This window comes from Homo sapiens, chromosome 16 (genome assembly GCF_000001405.40).
Source record: "Homo sapiens chromosome 16, GRCh38.p14 Primary Assembly".
Lineage (NCBI taxonomy): Eukaryota > Metazoa > Chordata > Mammalia > Primates > Hominidae > Homo > Homo sapiens.
The window spans coordinates 81,375,693-81,403,638 of record NC_000016.10 but is presented as its reverse complement, the minus strand read 5'-3'; the positions used below and the strand labels follow the sequence as shown (position 1 = coordinate 81,403,638).

The following is a 27,946-nucleotide window of genomic DNA, read 5'->3' as shown; positions in this document are numbered from 1 at the left end:
GAAGTCACAGGGAGAAGGTGGCCGGCCGATCCCCTGCCGTGAGAAGGAAGACACAGGGCAAACGAGCCTATGCTTTTCATCTCCCAGTTTTCGTGCCTCTTTCAATAGGGGTCTACCCCGTCGGCACCCCTAAATCCCCCACCCCATCACCCACTACAGACTTTTAGTGCATTTTTTATTTAGAATTCATTGATCCCACAATAATCAATTAAAATAATATTATTTATTCAAATTATTCAAATATTATTCAAATTATTTTAATGGTTGGAAGTACTCTTCCTGCTTATGTATTGATTTATTGGCTAGTATTTGGGTGCACAGAACCACTCCCGCTAACAGCTCTCCCTGGAGTGGCCATGGTATGCCCCATTCTCCATCACCCAGCTTCATCTTCACTTCTATTTTTTTTTTTTTTTTTTTTTTTGAGACAGAGTCTTGCCCTGTCGCCCGGGCCGGAGTGGAATGGTATGATCTCGGCTCACTGCAAACTCTGCCTCCCCGGTTCAAGCGATTCTCCTGCCTCAGCCGCCTGAGTAGCTGGGATTACAGACAGCCACAACCACACCCGACTAATTTTTATATTTTTAGTAGAAATGGGGTTTCTCCATGTTGGCCAGGCTGGTCTCAAACTCCTGACTTCAAGTGATCTGCCCGCCTCAGCCTCCCAAAGTGCTGGGATAACAGGTGTGAGCCACTGCACCCAGCCAAATCTATTATCAAGCCCATTATTCAGATGAGAAAACTGAAGTCCTGGCAAAGATTAAGTCCCGTGTCCAAGGCCCTCGATCAACGCTGGGCCAGATTCCCAGGCCAGTGCTCTCTTTTGCCTTGCCAGCCCTCCTGGCAGAGCTATAGCAGGCCCTGGCTAACACACAGGGATCCCCGACTTGTGCCTGCTATGCCTCAGTTTCCTCCTCTGCAAAATAGAGATAACGATAACAGCACTTACCTCAGAGGGATCATGTGAAGAGGAAAGGAACTAATACTTACATATATAACATTCTTGGCCAGGCGTGGTGGCTCACGCCTGTAATCTCAGCACTTTAGGAGGCCAAAGTAGGAGGATCCCTTGAGCCCAGGAGTTTCAGACAAGCGTGGGCAACGTAGTGAGACCATCTCTACAAACAATTTACAAGTTAGCCAGGTGCAGTTGCATGCACCTGTAGTCCCAGCTACTCAGGGGGCTGAGGGGGGAAGATCGCTGCCCAGGAGGTCAAGGCTGTAATGAGCCATGATCGTGCCACTGCACTCCAGCCTGGGTGACAGAGCAAGACCCTATCTCAAAAGAAAAGAATAAGCATTAAAATACATACATATATATATAAAATAAAATCCTTAAAGCCTGGCACAAGATGACTTCTCAACAAATGTGGGGGCGAGACGCGGTGGCTCACACCTGTAATCCTGGCACTTTGGGAGACCGAGGTGGGCGGGTCATCTGAGGTCAGGAGTTAGAGACCAGCCTGGACAACATGGTGAAACCCTGTCTCTACTAAAAATACAAAAACTTAGCCAGGCGTGGTGGCGGGCGCCTGTAATCCCAGCTACTCGGGAGGCTGAGGCAGGAGAGTTGCTTAAACCTGGGAAGTGGAGGTTGCAGTGAGCGGAGATTGTGCTACTGCACTCCAGCCTGGGCGACAGAGCAAGGCTGTCTCAAAAAAAAAAAAAAAAAAATCAACCAAACAAAAATGTGGGGTTTTAGTATCCACCAGCCTAGTACTCTCAGCCCTGGTTGCAAATCCACCTGGGAGATTGATTGTAATTAACCAATTAGAGCAGGACTGCCTCTAATTGGTCTCAGGTGGAGCCCAAACACGGGCGTTTGTGGAATCTCCCCAGGTGGTTCTCATGTTCAAGCAAAGGTGTAAAGTGCCAGGCCAGAGCCTCCACCGCAGGGCTGGTGTCCTGGGTGCCCAGGACAGTGGGCGGCAGCTGGCAGGTGCCAGGAAATGCTGAATGGCTGCTTCATCGCCCTTGGTGTCTACATTGCTTGTTACTCAGCATCGGGAGTTTAGATGTCATCTCCCATCAGTTAGGAGGGAGGTCACCCACTCAGACCTAGGTCATCGGCTCTGAAATAAAGATGGGCTTTGTCCCATTCTGAAATTCCCTAATCCAAACATGAAGTCATCCCAGCCCTGCCTTTGGAAGTTCCACTCAGGACTGAGCCAAGAAGGAGCCTGCCTCTTTCTTTCTAAAGTCACAGGCTGCGGGGCTCTGGATTCCCGGGATACGTCCAAAGGAGAAATTTGGGTCTAGCAAGGATAGGGGGTTGAGCAGAGGTCACTGAGCTCCCGCCACGGGCATGGATCCGGGCTCACCCCTGCCAAGTTTCTTGAATCCCTCTCCCGGAAAGGATGATAAACATGAGTCTTCATTTCCTCAACCGAAAATGCCCTGCAGGTTCAGGATAGGAATGATGACGCGGGGCTGGCCTGCGTGGGGTGGGGCTACTGCACAACAGTCATGCAGGCTGGTGTGTGAGCCTCCCGGCAGCTCTTCCAGGATCAGCTGGTCCCCACTTAAAGACAGCTGTGGCTTGGAGGGGTTAAGTGCTCCAGAATCCATGCACAATTTGTTGGAGTGTGAAGCTATCCATACCTCTTCTAGTCTGTCTATATGGCAGAATAAGATGCGGCTGAAACATCAGGCAGGGGCCCAAGAGACTTTCTTAAATTGTCTCTTTAAAATAACATGATTTCCATCCTGGGCAACAAGGCAAAAACCCGTCTCTACAAAACGTACAAAAATTATTACTAGCTAGGCATGTGCCTGTAGTCCCAGCTACTTGGGGTGCTGAGTGGGGAGAATCTCTTGAGCTCGAGAGGTCAAGGCTGCAGTCAGCCATATTCATGCCACTGCACTCCAGCCTGGGTAACAAAGTAAGACCGTGTCTCAAAATAATAATAATAAAAATAATAATAATAATAAATGATTGGCTAGACGACGTAGCTCATGCCAGTAATCCTAGCACTTTGAGAGACCAAGATTGGAGCATCACTTGAGGCCAGGAGACCAACACTAGCCTGGGCAATAAAGCAACATCCTGTTTCTACAAATAATAAAAATAAAGTAAAATAAAATAACATGATGGAAGATGAAGAACAAGTCTGGGAAGCTACGTGTTTCCTCATGGAGAGATTGGATCACCCTCATCTCCAGCTTGGTGTCTTGTGACAAGAGGATGGCACCGCAAATGTTTGTTGACCTAAACATTTATTTATTCACTCTTCAAAAGATATTTATTGAGCGCCTACTGGGCATTGTATGAGCACTGGGAAATGGAAAAGAAACAAGACTGACAAGGTCCATGGGCTGATGGAGCTGATATTCCAGTGAGTGTGTGGGGAAAGGGGTGGGCAGGGGAGAGAGACAAAAAAGTAAACAAATAAACAAAGATGATGAAAGATCATAATAAGGGCTGTGTATCAGTTATCTATTGTTGTATAACAAACACTCAACAATGTATGGCTTAACACAACCTCCATTTATTTCCTCACAATTCTGCAATGTGGGCTGGGCTCAGCTGGGTGGTTCTTTTGCTGGTCTTGTCTGAGGTCACTCACAGCCTCAGTTGTCTGTCATCAGGTGGCTTGAGAGGGACTAGTCTGAACAATTAGACTTACTTTTTTTTTTTTTTAAGTTGAATTTACTTTAAATGCAGAAACCAAAGCATTTCACAGAAACCTCCAGCTGAAAAATCAGAAGGTACGGCCATCCTGAGCCCACATTTCTGCATGGCAGCAGAGCATGTGCTGGGCAGTGGCTGCCCCCAGGAGATGGGGCATTGCTCCCCAGGTTCCCACAGCGCTGGCTTCTCTCTGGAGATTTCTAACACTGAGCCTATGTATCCACTGCCATTAAGACCCCTCAATGATTGTTGTTCTGACTATAGAGCTGAGAGGAAAGTGACACCTCTCTCCAACCCATGGCTCTAATCACAGTGGAAAGTGAAAATGGGCTGAGAAGAGCCTGCTTTTGGTTATTTGTATTCGTTATTTCTCACCACCTTTGCTTCACTTTTGTAACCACTTTGGCCTTTGCAGCATTTTAACCCTTCTGATACAGAGTGGGAGGAGAGGGGCAGAGAAGTCTTCTGTAAACAGGTGACTTTGATGTTGTGTCCTGGAGGATGAGAAGTTGGTAGCTGGGCATAGTGTTAGGGGGAGATGCAGTACCAATGTCCTGAGAGAGCCCCATGGCTGCAGCCCAAGGTAAGGGACTTCTTGCAGGGTCTCAGAGGGCATGTGCAAAGTTTGGGTTTCATTCTCAATGCAGTGAGACAGGAGCAGGAGGTTAAATGGTGCAGCTGCCGTGGAAAACAGCTTGGTGGTTCCTCCTGCTAAACATGGAGTTACCGTATGATCCAGCAATTCCACCCCTGGGTATATAGGCCCAAGAGAAGTAAAAACAGGGACTCAAATGCTTGTACTCAAATACTCATAGCAATGCTATTCACATTAGCCAAAAGGGGAAACAACCCAAAGGTCCATCAATGAAGGAATGGATAAACAAAATGCAGTCTATCCATACAACGGAATATTATTCAGCCATTATGAAGGAATGGGGCGCTGACCCATGTGACAATAGGGATAAACCTGCAAAATACCACACGAAGGCAGAGAAGACCATCACAAAAGGCTACTTACTGCGTGGCTTCATTTATATGTGTCCAGAACTGGCACATTCCTAGAGACGAACAGCAGGTTACTGGTTGCCAAAGGCTGGGGAGAGGGGGAATGAGAGTGACTATTCATGGGTACGGGATTTCCTTTGAGGGTAACAAAAAAATACCTTTTGGAATTCGATCAATGAACGCCCAACATCATGAATGTGCAAAATGCCACTGAATTGTTCTCTCTAGAGTGGCTGACATTTGGTCAATTTTACCTCAATTAAAAAAAGGAAAAAATGAGGCCAGGTGCAGTGGCTCACGCCTGTAATCCCAGCACTTTGGGAGGCCGAGGCAGGCAGATCACTGAAAGTTGGGAGTTCGAGACCACCCTGTCCAACATGGTGAAACCCTGTCTCTACTAAAAACACACACAAAAAATTAGCCAAGTGTGGTGGCGCACGCCTGTAATCCCAGCTACACCGGAGGCTGAGGCGGGAGAATCACTTGAGGCAGAGGTTGCAGTGAGGTGGTGTCACGCCACTGCACTCCAGCCTGGGCAACAGAGCAAGACTCCATCTCAAAAAAACAAAACAAAACCAAACAAAAAACAAACAAAAAGGAATAGAAGATAGGGAACATAAAAGAGAAACAATCAACACTGCGGTAGCTACGTTGCTGGTGATATTGAGGAAATGAGGAAGCCATTCTCATACCCAAAGTGGTGTTTCCTGTAGACAACCTAGGGGTGTGCAAGACTCTGGCTGGAGAGGGGTGGGTTAGCGGCACCAGGAGGGGTCCTCCCACGTGTGCACCTGCCAGCTTTCCTGGTGGCCCCCCCACCCCCCGTGATCTTGCCCCAGCATCAGGAATTGGGGGCGATCTGGTCAGGCAAGTCTCCTACAGCACTTAAACCCACGTTTCCGAATTGGATTCAATGGGAGGCAGCTTCCCAGTTAAAAGTCCAGGGCCTGGAGCTGGGGGGTGACAAGGTGGGCCTCCCAAAGACACTGATGACTGAGAATCAGACTGCAAAGGCAGGGGCCGGGATTGGGTAGGCGGTTTACAGAAGGTGAGCAGGATCAGCAGGAATTGCTGGTGAAGGCAGGAGGGTGCGTCTGTCGGGACTCCTCGCCCTCACTGCTGTCTAACAAGAAAGCCCGGGTAAGGAGAGGCCTCCAGCAGCTCAAGTGGGCCCAGGGACTCCGGCTGTAGCGTCTGTGGAGCAGGACATTTGAGTGGCTCAGATCTAGGGAGAACAGGACAGCAGGCTCTGACCAAGGAAAGCCATGGCAACGTCCGGCCAACTCTGGAAGCAGATGGGTCATTTCCAAGATGTCCTGAGAAGGGTCCTATTCCCGAGTCCCTCCCCTCTGGACTCATCAGATTCTGACTTAGAGGGTGGGCTGCATCGTTTTCCTGTGGCTGCTGTAAAAAAGCCCCACACACGCAGTGGCCTAAAGCAACACGGATGTGTTATCTCATCGTCCAGGAGGCCCGGTGTCCAATGCTGGGCTGGAATCAAGGCGTCAGCAGGGCTGCTTCCTCCTGGAGGCTCTCGGGAGAATCTTTTCCTTGCTCCTTGCAGCTTCTGGAGCTGCTGCATCCTTGGCCTTCGGCCCTGTGCCCTGCTCCAGCCTCTGTGTTGGTTGTCACATCTCTCTCTGACCCTCCCGCCTCCTTGATAAGGACTTTTGTGACTGCCGTGGGCCCTGATAGCGTTTGGATGTCTATTCCCTCCAAATCTCATGTTGAAATGTGGTCCCCAGTGTTGGCGATGGGGCCGGTGGGAGGTGTTTGGGTCATGGATGCAGATCCCTCATGAATGGCTTGGTGCCCTCCCCATGGTAGTGAGTTCACTCAAGAGTTGATTATTCAAAGAGCCTGGCACATGGCCGGGCATGGTGGCTCACACCTGTAATCCCAGCACTTTGGGAAGACAAGCGGGGTGGATCACTTGAGGCCAGGAGTTCGAGATCAGCCTGGCCAACATAGTGAAACCCGATGTCTACTAAAAATACAACAATTAGCTGGGCATGGTGGTGGGTGCCTGTAACCCCAGCTACTCAAGAGGCTGAGGCAGGAGAATCGCTTGAACCTGGGAGGTGGAGGTTGCAGTGAGCTGAGATTGCATCAGGAGGTCAAGAGATCGAGACCATCCTGGCCAACATGGTGAGACCCCCGTCTCTACAAAAAATATAAAAATTAGCCAGGGTGGTGCGCACCTGTGGTCCCAGCTACTCGGGAGGCTGAGGCAGAAGAATTGCTTGAACCTGAGAGGCAGAGGTTGCAGTGAGCCGAGATCATGCCAATGCACTCCAGCCTGGGCAACAGAGGAAGATTCCAGCTCAAAAAACAAACAAACAAACAAACAAACAAAAAACCAAAAAGCCTGGCACCTCCCACCTCCCCTCTCCTTGCTCCCTCTCTTGCCATGTGACGCCGTGTGACGCACCTGCTCCCCCTTCACCTCTCGCCATGGCTACCAGCTCCCTGAGGCTCTCGAGCCGATGCTGGTGCCATGCTTGTATGGCCTGCAGAACCGTGAGCCATAAAACCTCTTTTCCATGTACATTACTCAGTCGCAGGTATTCCTATTTATAGCAATGCAAAACGGACTAACGCAGGCCCACTTTGAAAATCAAGAATAATTGTCTCATCTCAGAGTCCGTAATCACATCTGCAAAGCCCTTTTTGCCACGTCAGGTGACATATTCACTGGTTCTAGGAGTAGGGTATTTGGGGAGGAGTAGATGTATTTGTGGGGGCAGGTGGCAAAGATCAGGAATCTCAAGGTCTTTTTCCTGCAGAGGTGAGAACTCTGACAGGGAGGCCCCTGAGCGCAGCTGGGCTCTTCTGTCTGTGTCTCTGGGGTCCACTGGAGCAGAGGAAGCTTTGTTGGTGCCGGTCTCATTGTATTGTGTCTAATGACACAGAGATGGCATAAAGAGGAAAGGACAGCCAGAGAGAGAATACAGGCCTGGGTATCACACAGATGTGGGTCCGAATCCTGGCTCTGCCTCAGACAAGCCATGAGACTTGCAGCAAGTTTGTTTTTCTTTTTTTTTTGAGATGGAGTCTCACTCTGTTGTCCAGGCTGGAGTGCAGTGGCATGATCTCGGCTCAACATGACCTCTGTCTCCCCGATTCAAGTGATTCTCCTGCCTCAGCCTCCCAAGCTGGGATTACAGGCATGTGCCACCATGCCTGGCTAATTTTTGTATTTTAGTAGAGATGGGTTTTCATCACGTTGGCCAGGCTGGTCTTGAACTCCTGACCTCAAGTGATCCGCCCACTTCGGCCTCCCATAGTGCTGGGATTACAGGCATGAGCCACCGTGCCCAGCCATAGAATAAGTTTCTTAATAGCTTCTGACTTTCTTATCTCTTCTCATCCTAGGAATATTCTGAATGTAATGACTAAGTTTAGCAACCTCTCCACAGGGCCTGGTAGGGGAGGTGTTTGATGAATGCTGGCCCTGGACAATCGCTGGGGAGTGCAGAGGACGGGAGAGGAGGGAGGCCAAGGCAAGCTGCACCTCCCTCTTCCTCTTCCACCCTGCCCCACAGCTTTGCTGGGCACACACGGGGCGGCTGTGGCAACTGCTCTCTGGCCGTGCTGGAATTGTGAGTTTCTCCTTTCCTGGTCACAGCTGATAAGTATATCCTGCTCGATACAAAACATCCACCCTTATGGCAAGAGTCCCAGGCTGGGAAATCCCTGAGCACCCCACCTCTAGCCCAAGGGAGCGTGCACTGCCTTTCCCCATAAATAGTTTAGGAGTACACAACTGTAGATGGTTGAGGGGTCTTCCCACCTCCTGGATCCATGCTCTGGGATGCAGCTGGGGAAGATGCAGGCTGGGCTGGCAGTGGCGACTGTGCGGAAGTGGCGACTGTGCAGAAGGGGGTAGTTTGTAGCTATCAGCACTGATGGGGCTCAGAGCTGAAGGCTTAACGGCCAGCAAGAGGAGGTCTCGACTGCACCAGCCACCGTTCTCTGCACTACCATGCATTAACTCACTGAGTTCTGGCACAACTCTGAGGCTGTGGGTCCTTGCCACTCACTGTCCCCAGGAAACTTGAGGCAGAGAGAGTAAGAACCCAGCTAATGAACAAGTTAGTGCTGGAGACTGGATTTGAACACAAGTTTAGCTCCAGGACCTGAGCTTTTAACTGGAAGGTTGGCTCCTACATGAATTTAATTCAGAAACACGAGTTTAAAGGCTGTAGGAGACTTGCCTTCCCAGGTTCCTTCCAATTCTCTGATGCTGGGGCCAGGTGGGGGATCACTGGGGAACACTGGTTGCTGCACACGTGGGTGGGCTCCTCCTGGTGCTGTTAACCCACCCCTCTCCAGCTGGAGTCTTGGCCACCCCTGGACCATCCACAGGAAACAGCACTTTGGGTATTGATATGGTTGGGCTCTGTGTCCCCACCCAAATCTCATCTCAAATGATAATCTGAATTGTAATCCTCACATGTCAAGGGACAAACCTGGTGGGAGGCGGTTGGATCATGGGAGCGGTTTCCCCCATGCTGCTTTCATGCTAGAGTCCCACGAGATCTGGTTGTCTGGTAAGTGTACGGCTCTTCCCCGTTCTCTCTCTCCTGCTGCCATGTAAGACATGCCTTACTTCTCCTTCCGCCCATGACTGTAAGTTTCCTGAGGCCTCCCCAGCCATGTGAACTGTGAGTCAATTAAACTTCTTTTCTTTATAAATTACTCATTCTCTGGTAGTTCTTTATAGCAGTGTGAAAACGGACTAATGCAGGTATAAAAGTGGACTCCTGGCCTGGTGTTGCGGCTCATCCGTGTAATCCCAGCACTTTGGGAGGCTGAGGAGGGTAGATCGCTTGAGGTCAGGAGTTCGAGACCAGCCTGGTCTTGAACATGGTGAAACCCCACCTCTACTAAAAATACAAAAATTAGGTGGGTGTGGTGGTGCATGCCTGTGATCCCAGCTACATGGGAGGCTGAGGCATGAGAATCGCTTGAACTCAGGAGGTGAAGATTGCAGTGAGTGGAGATCGCGCCGCTGCACTCTAGCCTGGGCAACAGAGCAAGACCCTGTCTCAAAAATAAATAAATAAATAAATAAAATACAGAAAAAAAGAGTGGATTCCCTATTTCCTCAATATCACTGGCAACACAGCTACCGGAATGTCAATCACTTTTCTTATTTGCCCCCTATCTTCTATCCCTCTTTTTAAAAATTGAGGTAAAATTGACCAAATGTCAGCCATTTCTGAGAGAACAATCCTGTGGCATTTAGCTCTCTCACAGTGTTGGGCATTCATCTATCCAGTTTCAAAACCATTTTGTCACCCTCAAAGGAAACCCCGTACCCACGAATAGTCACTCTCATTCCCCCTCTCCCAGCCCTTGGCAACCAGTAACCTGTTTCTCTCTAGGAATGTGCCAGTTCTGGACACTTAAATAAATGAAGCCACGCAGTAAGCAGCCTTTTGTGACAGTCTTCTTTCCCTTCCCATGGCATTTTGCAGGTTTATCCCTATTGTCACACGGGTCAGCACCCCACTCCTTCATATGGCTGAATAATATTCCATTGATGGGCAGACTGTATTTCGCTTATCCATTCATCCACTGATGCATATTTTGGTTGTGTGGGCACATTTGGGTTGTGAATAGCACTGCTATGAGCATTTGAATACAAGTATTTGAGTCTTCACTTCTCTTGGGTCTACACGTCCAGGGGTGGAACTCCTGGGTCATATGTTAACTCCATGTTTATCATGAGGAACCACCAAGCTGTTTTCCACAGTGGCTGCACCATTTACGTTTCCACCAGCAGTGCACGAGCGTTCCTGTTTCTCCACATCCTCGCCAACTTTATTTTCTGCGTTATTAAAATTCAAAAGAATTATAGCCATCCTAGAGTAGAGAGTGTTTATTTTTATTTATTTATTTATTTTGAGACAGGGTCTTGCTCTATTGCCCAGGCTGAAATGCAGTGGTGTGATCACGGCTCTCTGTAGCCTTGACCTCCTGGCATCAAGCAATCCTCCCACCTCAGCCTCCCAAGTAGCTGGGACTACATGCATGTGCCACCACACTTGGCTAATTTTTAAATTTGTTGTAGAGACTGCTGGGGGTCGGGGGGAGGTGGGTGGTCGCGTTCTGTTGCCCAGGCTGGTCTGGAACTCCTGGATTCAAGTGATCTTTCTGCCCCAGCCTCTCAAATGCTTGGATTTACAGGCGCGAGCCACTGTGTCTGGGATTATCCCTCACTTTTAAAAGCAGAGCTGAGATACCACTTGGCCCCACCTCTACAGATCCAGTTGAGGAAATGGGTTTTTCAAGTCCAGTGCCCTTGGTAGAGAAGGATCCTTGGTGTCAATGGCTGGGGGCCGGTGGAAGCAGCTGACCCACCCTTCAGAGGAAACCCAATCTTCCCCTTGGCCCAGTAACCACGGAGACAACCCCAGGAGACAACTCACACCCCAACTCCAGAGTGGGCAGAGTTCACGTGAATGGACTCCCTCAAGTTCTCCAGAGAGGTAGAGGTTTCTCTAAAAAGTCACTCAAGCTTGGTATTAAAAAAAAAAAAAATCTTGGCTTCCATCAGCTCCTATTCCAGCTGAAGGACGGTGGTCCTGACTCAGCCCCCAGCAGGATTCCCCGACCCCTTTGCCACATACTGTCTGACTCTGAACCCTTGGCTGTTCAACAACTGAGCCAGTTTCAGAAAAGGTCTGTCCCCTCTCCAGAGACACAGGCCGGACTGTGACATCATTATGTGTGTGGATGTTGGAAATGGCCTTGAATCCCAGCTCTGCCCTCTGCATTGAGCCATGAGTTTGGCAAAGTGACTTCTCAGTGCCTCAGTTTTCTGTGCTGTAAAATGGACAGAATGATACTACCTTCTTCCTACGGCTGTTGCAAGGATGAATTGAGTTAACACATGAAGGGCTGAAGATGGGCTCCGTCACGTAGGTTTTCAATAGGAGATCCGTTATCACCATTGAGAGCAGTCAACAGGGTTAAAGATGGTGACAGTCAACCCCTCACCTCCGCACCTGCGAAGTGCCACCCCCCATAGACAGGGCGTCCCTCTGTCTCAGGCACTGGTTTCTGGCTGAGATTCAGTTAGCAACTCTCCCTCACCCCAAAGATAAAAGGGCTACAGGCCGGGCATGGTGGCTCATGCCTGTAATCCCAGCACTTTGCGAGGCTGAGGCGAGCAGATCATATGAGGCCAGGAGTTCAAGACCAGCCTAGCCAACATGGTGAAACCACATCTCTACTAAAAATATAAAAATTAACCAGGAGTGGTGGCATGTGCCGGTCATCCCAGCTACTTGGGAGGCTGAAGCAGGAGAATCACTTGAACTCAGGATGTGAAGGTTGCAGTGAGCCGAGATTGCACCACTGCACTCCAGCCTGGGCAAGACAGCCAGACCCTGTCTCAAAATTAAATTAAAATTTAAAGGGCTACAGGCCACTGGACCATATGACCTCGTTATGAAAGGTAGAAAAAAATTTAAACCCACTTGCCACACCTATGTTATGCCATGCCGTGCCACCAAAGATGAATATACTGCCTCTTTTCATGTGATTTCAGGAGGGAGTCTGCAGACGGCCCGTGCACTTTCCTGTCCTTACCTAACCTGGACCTTATGGTAGAGTTGCTAAGCTCTTTACCCCTTGCCTTCAGTGGAGATCTGTATTTGAATTATCTTTTTCAAGTACTACCAATCTTTGTAGGTTTATTGTCTCTGGACAGCGCAGTAAGAGGGAACTAGAGAAATCTGCTTTCTGCAGATGGAATTCTGCCTCATATTACCAAGCCCTTAATATCAAGGTCCTCTAGTCCTCCGAAATCTATTTTCTCTCTGTCTTCTGAGGAAAGCCAATTTGAAACCATTTTTCAGGGAAGACAGCAAGGAGACTTATGCTGACGGCGATGGAGAGGCTCAGGCAGTCAGCCATGGAAAGACTCAGGCAGTCAGCCATGGAGAGACTCAGGCAGTCAGCGATGGAGAGACTCAGGCAGTCAGCGATGGAAGAGGCTCAGGCAGTGACTGGGGTGTGGCTGCTAAGGGACGGATCTAACATCACAAGCCACGGTCTAGGAGCTGACACCCACACCGTGTAAATGACAGAAACGACAACGTTTCATTCTTAAATCAAATCAAGCTGTATTGATAATGATGATTTAGCAGGAACCACTCTAAAAATCAGAAACAATTAGAATGCCTTCCCCATCAAATTATTTTATTAGGTTAATTAAACAGCTTAAAGATGATTCCTTTTGTGTGGTACCCTTCTAGAAAATATTTCAAGTTTTTAAGTGAACTTCCAATACATAAAACAAAATTACTTTAGCATACACAAATTTCAGATCAAAATACAACACTCTGTTTCTGTTTTCTTACAGTTATAAAATCCAGTCAATACAAACTACATAAAAAAGATAAAACACTTTCACTGATCCTTGGTACAAGAGAACAGCATGATGGCAAAATGTTCCCCAAGCACAGGTCCTGGGTTCGTGAGAAGGGACCAACCCCACAATATACTGAAGCATGTAAACAAAGTGCGTGCTACTTAATTTAGGTTAACAAATCCTTTTTGCATCAGTATTACTTGTAAACCATAAAGCAACTTTTAAAAAGAAAGGTTATTAATTAAAAATTACTTCTGACTGCTAAATTTCTTATCAGCAAGTGAACAGAAAATTATTCCACAAAACAAACTAGTACCTTTGGACCACAGGATGTGAGACGTGACATTTCAATGAAATCAACTTAGCACGACTTCTCTACTATCCTACTGAACTTGGGGAGTACAATTTTACAAGTTGCAGCCTTCTAGCACTTCCAATATTTTGAACTTTCTAAACCTGCCTATTTAGCTATGATTTTCATTGCAAATCCCTGTTTTTCAGTAGTAGGACTTTATTAAAGATAGGATAATATCACACACAATACAATCTTCACTGAATATGTGTCTAAGCAGACCTACTTGGAATTCTACTAGATAATAAAGTTGCAGGATTTAAAAGAAATACTATTCTGCAGGTCCCATGTCAGAAAACACAGATATGTTCAACAGATTGGTGTGGTATTTATATGGTATTCGTGGCATTTTCCTTATAGTATTCAAAGCATCAAAATGACAAATCAAGACTGTTAAAAACCAGTCTTGGACAAGGGTGACAGTCACATACTCGAGGGTCCAGCACAACACTGGCATGAGCCAACAGGAGCCACGCCGGCCACCTGCTGGGCCAGGGACCACTGCAAAGAGCAGCCCTGAATTTGGGAGGGTCAAATCGAATTTACAAATCTTGTTTTCAGGAATTTCCTTGATAGTTCTCTTTCATGGCAGAAGACCTATACCCGTGATGGAAAACAAAAGAATGTACACATTTCTAGTGTGTCATGAATGGGTCTCACTCACAGATAGGTACAGACATCACTGTCACTGCTAACACACAATGAAGTCTGCCTACGCCTACCTGAGGAGCATCCGCGATACCGTTTCTGATGAGGACAGGACTCTGCGGAGGTGGGCAGAGCAGGGGGTGCTTTTGTCAGCTCTGCTGGTCACTTCCAGGCTGCTGGTACACACCCCAACAGTGGCTGCAAAGATTGTTCAAAACTTCTGCTGAGGCCACAATGATTACGGGATGGTTGTCACAATTCACAAAAGGTATGATACAAAAAACAAAGGGTATCACCATTACGTCGCCGGCGAACTGAAGGGGTACAAGACCGAGGAACCAAACACAAGCTGAATTCAAAACGAAAAGAACCCCAGTGGCAGAAAAAGCCACGAATTATTTAATGAAGCAAGTTGTGCTAATAAACAGCCTGTGCTTTTCTTAACTGAAGGTCACTTGATACATTTCCCAACACACAATTTTTATTCAGATTATCTTTGTTTTCATGGAGAGCCTGAATTTTGAGGTACGATCTAGGAAAAAGATGTTATCACCCACACAAATGGAAGGCTCACTTCTTTACTTCTTAAGCTGATGATACCCTTTTGCCCGCCCCATGTACCAGATCCTACATGATTTTTTAAAATAAAACATAAGTCAATTTCAATGAGCATATGCTAGACTAACAATAAATTTATTTTTTGGAGTTTCTTTTGAAGCACAAATTCCTTTTAAAAAAAATATGAAAAGGTGGTCTCTCCTGGAAACAAGCAGTTCTAGTTTCCGATCCCACAACGATTTGGAACATAGTGTGTTTTTAAGTCAGAGCTGAAGAGGAAAGAAGGAAACAAGGGCTGCGCTCCGCTCTGGCGAATGCGAGCTGCAAAGGGACAGAGGAGGACCCACACGGAGGGTCCCCACCCGGCTCTGCGGACAGACATGGCAGAGGGCCTGTCACACAAGAGGCCACCGGGCCGAGCACGTCCGGGAGCCTGGGGCTGCACTGGGTGCTGAGGTAGTGAGCGGGGCCTGTGCCTGCCTGCCCTCCCGGCTTGGAGGGGGAGCCCTGAGGGCCTCTGGGGCTGGCCTGGAAGGTGTCATTCTAGCCTACAGGTGCCTAAGGCGCTGGGATGTGTCCTTGGCGGTGCCTCAGAAGGCACCTGGGTCCAAGTTCTGACCTGGAGCCTTGGGGACAGATCTGACTCTCACAGCCAGGGCCAGCTGGTTGTGGAAAGTGCTAGTATGCAGGTCTGCTCAGGGATCTGTGAGGCTCATGCTCTGGCCATTATGTGGTCTGAAGAACCAGAAGGGCTATTCTCCTCGCCCCCAACAACCCGCCCCAACTGCACCTTTCTTTTCCTTTTTATTTTGGATACATAATTCAAGCAGTAAAAAAACCAGGCTGGAAGAGGGTTGGGACAGAGGAGCAGAGGGCAGGGTGGGAAAGCTATCCCAAGAAGAGTGAGTAAAAACAACGACTCCGAACATGGCCAAAATACCCTTCCTCCACCTTGACGGCAATCCCTAAGCTGGCAGAGAAAGATGCGCCGACTGCGAAGTGCCTGTTTTCTCAGAGATTCCACCTAGCAGTGTCCATGGGGAGCCACAGTGGAACATGGAGAGAACAATCAAGGCTGGTTCAAACGAAAGGTTATTCACCAGTGAAAGAAACGGGGAGAAGACACAGCCGGCTAGCTCTGAAGACATGGTGTGCATCCCAGCCTATAAATCTCTAATGATCTTGATCCCGTGTTTCCCCTATTTCTGAGCAGACCTTTTTTTTTAATTTTTTATTTTTTTGTGAGACAGAGTCCCCCTCTGTCGCCCAGGCTGGAGTACAGTGGCACAATCCTGGCTCACTTCAACCTCTGCCTCCTGGGGTCAAGTGATTCTCCTCCCTCAACCTCCCGAGTAGCTGGGATTACAGGGGCCCACCAACACACTCGGCTAATTTTTGTATTTTTAGTAGAGACGGGGTTTCACCATGTTGGCCAGGCTAGTCTTGAACTCCTGACCTCAAGTGATCCACCTGCCTTTGCCTCCCAAAGTGCTGGGATTACAGGCGTGAGCCACTGCACCCGGCCTGAGCAGATCAAAAACAAGGCAAGAGGGGTCAGGACACACAGGCAGAGGCTCGTTCCCTCTCCTTCCAGAGCTGAGAATAAAACTGCAGTAGACTTTCACCAGGGAGGAGGACAAGACAAAACCATGACAACAATCAGGTCCCTTGGTGACGACGTGCCCCATCAGCAAGGCTACCCACCTACGGAGTGGGAAGGTTGCCGTGCCAACCTCCCCTAGGGCAGGAGAAACAACTGGCATATGTTCAAATGATCAATATCCCACCCCCCGCAACAAAACTTTTTTCTGAAATTTCATATAGCAACGTGCTTTCTTGAACCGAGACGTAAGACTTTACATTTAGCCATTACACTATGAAGAGTATTGCAGATCTAACACCCAACACATCTTGCCCAGCACTCTTCTTTGCCTTCTATATTTTTATTCAAGTTATGGATACAAATGTCAAACAGGATGCTGCTAGAGTAGCTCACCTTAAGTGATCTTGCCAAAGATCCGTTCTTGCCAACACTGTCTGAACCTGGCTATTCAGCCGACTTCTCGGTCCTTTGTTAAATCCTACTTCTACTTCCCTTTCTTTCTTTTCTTTTGAGATGGAGTTTAGCCCTTGTTGCCCGGCTGGAGTGCAACGGCACCATCTCGGCTCACCGCAACCTCCGCCTCCTGGGTTCAAGAGATTCTCCTGCCTCAGCCTCCCGAGTAGCTGGGATTACAGACATGTGCCACCATGCCCGGCTAATTTTGTATTTTTAATAGAGACGGGGTTTCTCCACGTTGGTCAGGCTGGTCTCAAACTGCCGACCTCAGGTGATCTGCCCGCCTTGGCCTCCCAAAGTCCTGGGATTACAGGCGTGAGCCACCGCGCCCGGCTGTTCTACTTCCTTTTCACATTCAGAGATCAAGAATGACTTTATCAAATGTCTTATTGAAATCAAGACAAGCTGAGCACATTATATACTCCTACCTCTGCCAGTCTCATAACCTAACCAGGAAAAGAAGTGTATGATACCATAGAAGGATTAAGTAGTTCACTGTTTGTACCACTTTGTTAAATAACCTTCTTTATGCAAAGGTACAAAAGTTCCACACACACAGACACATGCACAAACACACATGCACGTACACACAAGTACTTGTAACACATATTTGTTTGTTTTTAAGTTTCATGTAACATCCAAGTTAAGAAAGCACAGTTAGGTCTACTGGTCTAAAACAGAGATCTAGGAATTATCTCGTTTCTTTGACCAATACAGATTACTACCTTTGCTATTTCAATGAAAAAAAAGGAAAATTCAACTTTAGTAAAGAGTTTTAAGTATTATTAGAGAATTTCACTGGGCAAATTCTAAACAGAGGGTTATTTATAACAAACTCTAAGTATTCTAAACACATATTTTGGGCTGTTTCAGCTATCTAGAATTGTGTTGAATTTAAATACTAGAGATGTAGATGGAGAGAGGTGATATGGGTCTAGAAAGCAAATCATTTTCTGGCTGGATGCTCACACCTGTAATCCCAGCACTTTGGGAGGTTGAGGCAGGCGGATTGCCTGAGCTCAGGAGCTCGAGACCAGCCTGGGCAATATGGTGAAACCACACCTGTTCTAAAAATACAAAAAATTAGCTGGGCATACTGGTGTGCACTTGTAGTCCCAGCTACTTGGCAGGCCGAGGCAGGAGGATCCCTTGAGCCTGGGAGATGGCGCCACTGCACTCCAGCCTGGGTGACGGAGCGAGACTCCATCTCAAAAAAAAAAAAAAAAAAAAGTATTTTATGAACACCAACTTCTAATACATTTACTTGTATATCATGTGGCAGCAGACGTGAGAATGTGGAAAGCTATAAGGCCTGGGACACTCAGTGCAGGCAGCCTTGGCCTCATCCACAGGGCCTCCCACCACCCCATGTTGAGAGGTGACATAATCATGGTGGCAGCAACAGTGGTCACTGCACACAAGGCACTCTCCCAGCTGCTTACAGTCATCACCCAGTTAATCCTCACAACAACCCGCAGAGGTGAGTCCTCCTGCTATTCTTCTTCCACATAAGAAACGGAGCCTTGGGAGCCTTAAGAGCTTCCCAAGTCACAGAGTAGTAAGTGTGGCAGAAGCCCCCAAGCCCAGATGCACCTGCCACCAAGGCCTATGCTCTCAACCACTGGGTTTGTAAGGAAAGTATATAAAGATGATTGCCTGAAAATAATTAAAATAACAAAGTTTGGGGTTTAAGTTAAAGGAATAAGCCTTTGTTCTCATGGAAATCACTTCCAGGAAATGTCTCATGTCCTGAGCTAAGTCAGTCTCATGTCCTGAGCTAAGTCAACAGGGTGCTAACAGATTGTCATTGGAGGAGAAGCTTTGTCATTCTACTATTGAAAGCAAGCCCTTTACTCTGAAAAGCACAAGCATAAAAATTAAATCTTATTAATACACAACGACAGTTAAACTTGGCTATACTTGGTACAACTTAAGCACCAGATTTTACCTGGTGCTTAAGTTATACCAAATATGCCAGGCTTTTAGAAATGGGCATAACTCTTTTGGCCACGGCATCACTGAACTCCTCCATTTAAGTAGAATGTGTACAACTGTGCCCTGAAACTGGGCCATTATTACAAGATCTCCCGAGAGGAAGAGTCTTGCCTACAACTGGTGAGCCTCCTCATCTTCTTCCTCCTGACTTGGTGACCAGGCAAGCTGACAGACACTAGGGAGGATGGAGGCGACCACGTGTGGAGTGCAGAAGGCGCATACCGGAGGAAGGTGAGGGATGTTCCACAGATACATGGAACAAATCACATCATTCATGATTTTCAGTATCATCCAACTCTATATAGTTCTGCCAACCTCAACTCTGCACTGAGGAAACACTTTAAGTGAGGAGGATCTTAGCAATGAGTAGATTTTCATCAAAATTAAAGATTTCTGGGAAACAATAGCACCTTATAAGAAATGAAAAAAATAGTATCCTCAAGCACCCAAATCCCAAATACTGGGTCAGATGACAGATAGACACATTTTCTTGTCTGATGCTAACAAGAATGGAAATCGAGCCCCCTGTTTTACACAGCAGTGGCGTTTAAATAGACTACTTTTCTGCATTATGAAAACAGCCTTTTAAAGACTCTTTAAAGTTCAAGTTGAGTTTCAAGTAATCAGTTTGCAGCAACTCTAGGAGAATTATTATTCCTCCTGGTTGTAAGTGCTTTTTTTTCTTTTCTTTTTTTTTTTTTTTTAAGTAGTAAAATGGAAAACAGGCCTTAGAGAATTGTATTCCTCAAGGCCTCTGACTGCCTGCTTCCAAGCTTTTGTTAAAGAACAGAATGTGTTGAATTCTTCTCAATTGGCAGGGGATCAAGCACAATACTACATAATGAGGTAGCTGAGAACAGAGTTTTTCCTATAAACACAAAGAACAACTGAATAAGTGCATGTAATTCTCATCCAATTAAACAGGAAACATGATAAAGCAAGTTAGTACAGTTGTATTTAAACCAAGTTGACTGGTATAACTTGAAAAAATTTAACCCAAGTTTCTAAGGTATGCCTTATTCATAACTGATGAGTAAAAACAATAAAAATAAGGTACCCAAACCTATTACTTGTAATGAAATGCTAAAAATAAGATCCTAATAAATATAATTCACCAACCAGAAGACAGATGAACCTCCGTTTGGGATGTGAATGATTTGAAATGGCCGTTCATTTACGTGGATCCTATTCAGTGTCTACTCGTTCACTTCATCTTAAGGCCGTGTGTCCCCCGGACTCTGTGTGTTGCCATCCTTTTCCACCTGTTCCTTCTCTAATTCATATCACGACTGTACAATTTCTGGTTTTCTTTCAATGTGTGCACAGAAGGAAGCTCAACAACTTTGTTGAGCCAGGAAGAAATTATTATCAACATTTATAATCAGGCCAAATTTCAGCTGAGTAGTGACTTTAAAAGAATTAGTTTTAATCTCAAAATAAAAAAAAAAAAAGAGGGCAGGCGAGGTGGCTCACACCTGTAATCCAGCACTTTGGGAGGCTGAGGCGGGCGGATCACGAAGTTTAGGAGATCGAGACCATGCTGGCTAACATGGTGAAACCCCGTCTCTACTAAAAACACAAAAAATTCGCCGAGTGTGGTAATAAGCACCTGTAATCCCAGGTACTGGGGAGGCTGAGGCAGGATGATTGCTTGAACCCAGGAGGCGGAGATTGCAGTGAGCCGAGATCGCACCACTGCACTCCAGCCTAGGCGACAGAGCGAGACTCCGTCTCAAAAAAAAAAAAAAAAAAAAAAAAAAAAGAGAGGGCAACAGTCATTTCTGACTAAATAATTATATAATGTAGTTTTATTTATTTGATGTTTAATTTCATGAAAAGGGGAAGGGGTTTAAAAATCCAATCACTTAGAGAATTTCAATGACAGAACTGAAAAAGAACAAACTTTCTACGGAGCGTGGTGGCTCATGCCTGTAGTCCCAGCTGGGTCTCCACATCTGAGGCCAGGAGTTTAAGATCAGCCTGGGCAACAGAGCAAAACCCAGTTTCTAAAAGAAATTTAAAAAAATAAAATAAAATAAAAAAGAATAAACTTTCCTAAACTGTATACATTAGACCAAACCATCTGGAAGTATGATTTAATTCCTCAGATGTCACATAAATGGAACTATTACAATGAGACAATATTGAAATATGTTTAAAATGGAAATAATAATAGGGTTCCTTCTGAAAAACACAAAACTTTACCAAGTTTTACCAGCTAACTTGCAAAAAATATAGAAAATGCCTAGCAGTCAATACCACTGAGACTTAACTGCCAGCAGGCATGACAGACACTCAATCCAAGTCTGTGTTATCAAATATGGGCAAATGGGCCCCTTCTCATCCTTATACTATGAATTTCTGTAATTTCTCAAAACTACAGACAGAGTAAAGAGTATTTCAAGAATTATTAAAAGCTATCAAAATACTTTCCTCAACATTCTAAGACATAGTTTATTTTCCCTTACTAATTACATGGAATAAGAGAGGGAAGTATACATGAAGCTCTTTGAAATAAAAAAACAGTTTCTCTTTCAAAGAAACTTTCTTCTGTTCTTACGACCTTAGTAAATAAATTCTTAACCTTCCTATAGCTAACTAACAAAGAAAATCAAAGATCTTTCAGCTTATGCCTGTGCAACTAGCAAAGGACATGTTTGGGAGCGTAAATTGTATTAATACTAAAAATGATTATTCTATTACTAAAAATACTTGTATGCCTAGAAAAATCAAGTTCCAGCCTCACTGGCTGACTGGTGAGCTGATAATCCAAAGACCTGGCTTCTGCTTTTGGTTCTTGCTCCTCCCTAAAGTGAGAAATGAAGCCATATCTATCAGGCCTCCAAGATTACCCTGGTACAATGGGGAGAGTGCCCTGCCTATTCCAGAGGTGTGAGGATCAAAGGGGTATGTCCTGGAAAGATTTTGACACCCATATAAAAAGCAGTCAATAAAGCCCAATACTAAACATGATCAACATTATAAGCTGTGCTGAGTCTATAGAGGGTCTCATAGTCCCATATAGAGGGTACAATCAGAAGACTGTACATCATGTACATCAGGCACTTGGCATTGTTTATGCTATACTAGTTTCAGCTCCATATAGGAGGCCGGCCCATGCTAGTTTCAGCTCCGTATAGGAGGCCAGCCCATATGGGTACAAAGTTTCTCACTGAAAACCCAGTAAAATCAGTCACTCTTGGAGTGCCCTTTTCAACAGAAGAACATTACTTTGATCACAAGAATCTTATATTTATTTGTCAAATGTTTATTGCCTACCTACTCTGTGCAAGCACTGAGACTGGCAGATGACAAAGACGGGGCCCTTGCCCGTTCCATAGTGGGTTTATGACCTTGAGTAGGAGAGTGGTGTGACCTCTGCCTCACTGTTCAGCTCCCAGGATGGCAAGCACAGTTCCTAGTGGGTGCTCATCAGACATGTGTTGGCTGACCCAAGGCGGGTTTTGCTACACTCAGCTGCTCTCTTCTCACTGACTTCCTGGACTCCAGTGCTCAGTGAGCAGCCAGTGGAAAAGGGCCGCCTCACCTTTCCCTTCCACCAGGTGTTTTTAACGGGGTTCCGGCATCTTTAAATTGATACAGTCAAAGCGCCACCTCATTCTTCCCCCATTTAACCAAAGGTCTTCATCTGACCACGGGAGGCCTCTTGAATCATGAACGCCAACATTCTGGAAGGGGATACTGCGGTGTTTCTAGCACTCCTTGGAAGGTTTTTGGAATCCCTGGTTTGGTACACTGAGGTAGGAATGTACCAAAGGGAACTCTAATGGACCACAGCAGCTAAGACATTTCTCTAGAAATGAAACTTAACTACCCATGAGTAACTTAGGTGCCATAGCAAAGCCAGTCCTCTCTTTACCACGTTTGTACAAAGAATGTATTTCCTATGCATTGACTAGGGAATCCCCCCAACTCATAAATTATAAAAATGACACTTCCAAGCCATCAATGAAGGAAGTGTCATCATTAAAGTGGTAGTGCAATATAACAAAGTGTTTACAAACAAAACACCATCCAACATACCCCCAAATGCTCCTTTTTGGTTGTTATACAGTTTGAAAAAAGCCTACAGTTAGCTATCAATTCCTTACAGCAATGAAGTACTAAGCTAAACAATGCATTCAGAAATTTCTTAGGCCAAATCCTGACAGTATACCAACTACGAGTTGGTAAACACTGTTTTTAATCCTGCTGAAGAAGAGAAACGCGAACACCAAGTAAAACTTACTATAAACTACAAATATTTCAATATTTACACTCAATATGAGTTCGACACAGTAGTATAAACTGAAGGTCAACAGGCTCAAGAATTTATCTGAAGCACCAGGAGACAGTAATATATGTAGTTTAGAACTACAATTCAAAAAGTAAACACAAATACATTTATCAGGTCAAATAGCATCACACACACACGTACAACTCACTCATTCATCTCTCACACTTTTTCTATTCACAGGATATAAGCACTATCAAAAACAAAACAAAAAACACTTTCAATAAACACTTAAATCTTTGAAAAATCTAAATTTGGATATGCTAAACAAAGAAACAAACTACCTATTTTAGACTGCAGCCTAGGAGAGGTTCTTTAAATATTTACTTATTCTAACCTGAGACAACTTTCCTTCTGAAAATAAATTGCACTTCCCCCAAAGATATTTGTATTTAAAATTTAAGACCTATCCTGAGCCACCAATTCCAACACACACCTGGTAAAAGTGCCTTATCAAGAAAGAAGTATCAAAAAGTTATCAAGAAATGATGTTTCAAGGCATAAGTGGAATGTTAAAACACAAACCTGCATGAAATGAGTCAACATTTATTTTACAATACTGAAATAACTGTAATTTACAAAAGAGTCATGATTAATGTTGGAGCATAGTAAAATTAAATACATCCCTATACTTCAACACAATATTTTAATATTTATATATAGTAAAATAACAGTTTGGCACTTAGCAGCTTTGTTGGTTATTGCATCCCATATTATGTGGCAAATTTATTTTATAAAACATTATCTAATTTCTGCAGTTATAGAGTCAATGAACTGAAATTAAAAAAAAAAAACACTATTTTTATAAAATGAATTTACCAAGTCATGCAGGTACTGATAATATTGCAAGAGGAACACATTCACTCCTAAATAATGAACTGTCTCCTTGGAGAGGCCTGGTGTAGACTGGAAAAAAAACTTTAAATATCAGAAATTAAAAAAGGAGAATTGCTGACGATCGTGGCTTTAACTGGATGTCAGTTACTGTTTTAATGTTCCCCAATTACAGCTGCTGAATGCCAAGGTACTGTTCTGTACAGGACATTTCACCAAAGCAAATTTAGTTTTTCAGCTATTTCCTTCCTCTAAAACTAATATCTAGTTGTAAAAAGAAAAATCTTCCTTTCTTTGCAGAGGCCACATAGTTTGCTTTCATTAAAAAGATCTCCACACTGTCACTACGAAAATGTGCAGACAACAGCTGACTGGTACACAAAACAATTCTGAATTTGGTTTTGACTGACATATTAAACATGATTGAATTACATGACTGTGCGGCACATCTGGCCTGGTGCCTCTGGCATATAAGATAAAAACCTTACACCTTCTCTTATCAGGTATCTTCTGGCTAAAATGGAGAGTTAATGTACCACACTCAACACTCTCTAGAACCCCATAGGCACAGCATCTTTCAGCAACTTTTGACGCATTGTACTGACTTCCAGCAGGTATAAGAAAAAAAATCACAGGTCACCCTTTTTTATGTCTATGGGTGGGAGAACGTAAGTGATGTTTTTCATATGCATGTTAATTGCATATAAACGTTCCATACAGGAAGTTTCTAGAAGAAATTCCTGTTCTCGACTTAAAACCAAAGGATACCTTTATACATGTGTTAATAAGACAAAATGCTGCTTCTTACAGCCATATTCCAAAAGGAAAAAAAAAACCTTTTTTTTAGAAAACAATTAAAAATGAAGTACTGTATATTAAATTGATTAGAAATTTGACATTGCATAAAATTCAATTTAGGAAGGAATCAAGCACTTTGAAGTCCCCGATTTCACACTAGGGTGGTGTAATTCAAGTGGAAAACAAAATATCTTACAAGATACGTTCCACGAACGAAAGACATTTTTCCCCCAATGAGAAGTGGGGTAAAGTGGGTTGAGGTGAGAATGAGAGATAGGAAAGGAGGGAAGGAGGAAAAGATTAATTTGCTCTACTATGAACAGAATGAAATTAAGTTGAGGTAGTTTATTCTACCAGCCAAACTTTACTCGTAACATAATTTGTCTAAAACTCTCACTAGTGAATGCCACTGGGAAACTTCTATTACAAAGACTAGATTCTTAACACAGATTCGCATTCTAAGACAAGTTTTCAAACCCTAAACAGTAGTAAACAAGACTTTGTGTGCTTTCAGACAGGTTATATGAAAAAGTTTCTGATCCCTATGTATTTTGTCTGGATAGCTTTTTTGTTTTTGCTTTTTTAGCCACAGCAGACCTTTATTATTTGTCTGACTCAGGTCTTTCTTTTATAAAATCTCCTACTCACTAATATCCTCATACTTAGAAAATGGTTTTGCTCATTGAGAAGGCAGAATGGCACTGCAGGAGACCCTTCCCGGCTCCACAGGTACTACCCCAGAAAGGATGCGTGACGTGTCTTGATCTAAGTCAACACAGAAGCGAGCAACTTCTTTCAGTTCACATGAGGGCTGCAACCTGACTCATCAATTTACTGAATCTTTACATTACTAAGATAAAGTTACAAAAGAGCAATTTTATCTTCATTTCAATTCATCATGATATAGTTTTAAAAAGATTCTTAGGACAGAGTACTAGGAATAAATGGAGACTAACTGGCATACAGTCCAATCTAACATTTTAGGCACAAACCTTAATTTGTTGGGCAGGGTTAGGCATAATATATCCTTCCAAGTGCAGTGGAAAAGCAGTCTTGGCATGTTTGGATATGTTGATTTGCATATACGGATTTTGTTTGTTACCAAAGCTACGTATTTGAATACAGCAGTCAGACATGAGTTCCCTTCAGGGAAAATGCACCTTAGTATTTTAACTTTGATATTTTACATGATAGCAATTCCCACTCCCTTTTCCTTTTGATATTTACTAGCCTCCCTAGCCTCCAACATCTACAGCCACATTTAACTGGAGGAACTCACTCCTCCCAGGTAGTTTTTCAACAGTTACGTGTTCTCCCAAACAAGAGCTAAAGCTCAAGTTTGTAAGCATCATAAAACCACCAAAGAGTTACCATACCAAAGCCCAGCACAGAGTGAGTTTCAGCTGCCATCTCTGCTCTCCCTTTCGGAGCTATGTTATGGTGCTCTTGGGTCAGGATCTCGCACTCTGCTCTGCTTCCTCCTCAAGGGGAATGAACACGAATACGGAATAAGCCTTGCTGAAGCTGCAGGCGGAAAAGCTTGCAATTCGCAATGCGTAAGGCTGCACATCCTGTACGGCGAAGGTCGGATGGAAGGAGTGGTTTAGTGTGGTGCCAGGTTCCTGTGCTTCTTTTAAACTCACGCACGTAGTCGTAATTGGTACCTAAGCCACAGAAATAAGCAAGGGTGAGAAAATGTACCCAGAATCACCAGGAAACAGTTCCAAGAAAATCACTGTAACACTCTTACCTGTATCAAGATCTCCAATAACATAAATACTGGCTCCTATAGGTACAGCTCCATAAACAAAAGAGGAACTGGCGGGGATGCATAAATTCTGGTCGTTAAGATAGATCCACCTGAAAACAAAGCCCATGCACAAAATTAAGGAAATCAAAAGGATGACAACAACATCTAGGAAGACTGACACAGCAAGCTTGGTGAGTCATCAGCAGTATCAGGCACTGTGCCAATCTCGACCCCACGTTCCACTGCCAGGTAACCACCGACATGCTGCCAGTCGCTACAGATAGGAGTTTTGTCTGTGCTAGAATGAAACATGTATTGAGTCATAAACAGCATGTGCTTTCCAACCTGCTTCTGCTCAGCACAAGGTTTCTGAGATTCATCCACACTGTTGTTTGCATCTGTCATTCATTTCTGTTTATTTCTAAGCAGTACTCCATCATACGGATGTACCAGAATTTGTTGGTTTTTCAGACAGGGCCTCCCGAGTGCAGTGGCACAATTATGGTTCACTGCAGCCTCAACCTACCAGTTCAGGTGATCCTCCCACCCCAGCCTTCCAAGTAGCTGAGATTACAGGTGTGCACCACCACATTCAGCTAATTCCTGTGTGTGTGTGTGTGTATGCGTGTGCATATATATACACATATACACATATGTATATACACACATATATACACACATATATACACACATATATGTATGTATATATACATATACATACATATAATATATACTTATACATACATATATACACATATACACATATATATGTATATGTGTGTATATACATATACACATATATGTATACACACACACATACACACACACACACACACACACACACACACACACACACACACACATATGTATGTATAAAGATGGGATATTGCCATGTTGCCCAGGCTGGTCTTGAGCTCCTGGGCTCAGGTGATCTGCCCACCTCAGCATCCTAAAATGCTGTATAACAGGCGTAAGCCACAGAGTCCAGCCCCAGAATTTGTTATTCATTCACCTGTTGACGTTCCAGTTTTTGGCTGTTATGAATAAGGCTGTCAGGAACATTAGAGAGCAAGTCTTTTTTGCGGACTTATGAAATTGCTGGGCTATATGGTAAGGTTATTGTTTACTGGAAAAAAAAAAAGTGCCCCACTGCTTTCCAAAGCTTTGTGCCATAATTTTGCACTCCAATTAGCAATGCATGAGAATTCCAACTGCTCAGTATCACTGTGAGATCTGAGTATTATATTTTTAATTTTGGCTACTTTAATGGCGTATACTTCCCTGAAGACCAATGATGTTGAGCATCTTTGCCTGAGCTTATTGGTCATTTTATGGAATTTTTTTTTTTTTTTTTTGAGACAGGGTCTTACTCTGTCACTCATCCAGGCTGGAGTGCAGTGGTGCAATCACAGCTCACTGCAGTCTCAACCTCTTGGACTCTAGTGATCCTCTCACCCCACCCTCCCAAATAGTTGGGACCACAGGTGCACACCACCACACCCAGCTAATGAATTTTTTTTTTTTCCATAGAGATGAGGTCTCACCATGCTACCCAGGCTGATCTCAGGTTCCAGGGCTCAAGTGATCCTTCTGTCTTGGCCTCCTAAAGTACTGGGATTGCAGGTGTGAGCCACCA

At 44.9% G+C, this 27,946-nt stretch overlaps 1 protein-coding gene and 1 non-coding gene across 3 annotated transcripts in view, besides 3 other annotated features; both read right to left on the bottom strand.

Annotated features, from left to right (window-relative positions):
- Positions 5,291-5,841: an enhancer, noted in NCBI's record as "H3K27ac-H3K4me1 hESC enhancer chr16:81431403-81431953 (GRCh37/hg19 assembly coordinates)". NCBI's record gives its function as "activates a minimal SCP1, AML or CMV promoter by ChIP-STARR-seq in primed H9 embryonic stem cells {active_cell/tissue: H9 hESC(primed)}" and the evidence as "EXISTENCE:reporter gene assay evidence [ECO:0000049][PMID:30033119]".
- Positions 5,842-6,392: an enhancer, noted in NCBI's record as "H3K27ac-H3K4me1 hESC enhancer chr16:81430852-81431402 (GRCh37/hg19 assembly coordinates)". NCBI's record gives its function as "activates a minimal SCP1, AML or CMV promoter by ChIP-STARR-seq in primed H9 embryonic stem cells {active_cell/tissue: H9 hESC(primed)}" and the evidence as "EXISTENCE:reporter gene assay evidence [ECO:0000049][PMID:30033119]".
- Positions 12,830-27,946, bottom strand: part of GAN (gigaxonin) — a 75,848-nt gene continuing 60,731 nt past the window's right edge. For both annotated transcript variants that reach the window (NM_022041.4, NM_001377486.1), the window contains 2 exons: positions 26,311-26,420; positions 12,830-26,224 (listed from right to left, as the gene is read on the bottom strand). In NM_022041.4, the coding sequence (NP_071324.1) occupies positions 26,043-26,224; positions 26,311-26,420 (292 nt within the window). In that variant the 3' untranslated portion in view covers positions 12,830-26,042. The remainder of the gene's footprint in view (positions 26,225-26,310; positions 26,421-27,946) is intronic.
- Positions 16,571-16,765: a silencer, noted in NCBI's record as "fragment chr16:81420479-81420673 (GRCh37/hg19 assembly coordinates)". NCBI's record gives its function as "represses an EF-1alpha promoter that drives an FKBP-Casp9 reporter gene in an ReSE screen in HepG2 liver carcinoma cells {active_cell/tissue: HepG2}" and the evidence as "EXISTENCE:reporter gene assay evidence [ECO:0000049][PMID:32094911]".
- Positions 18,546-18,621, bottom strand: MIR4720 (microRNA 4720). Its single transcript, NR_039871.1, has one exon. It is a non-coding gene; the product is annotated as a microRNA 4720 (primary transcript).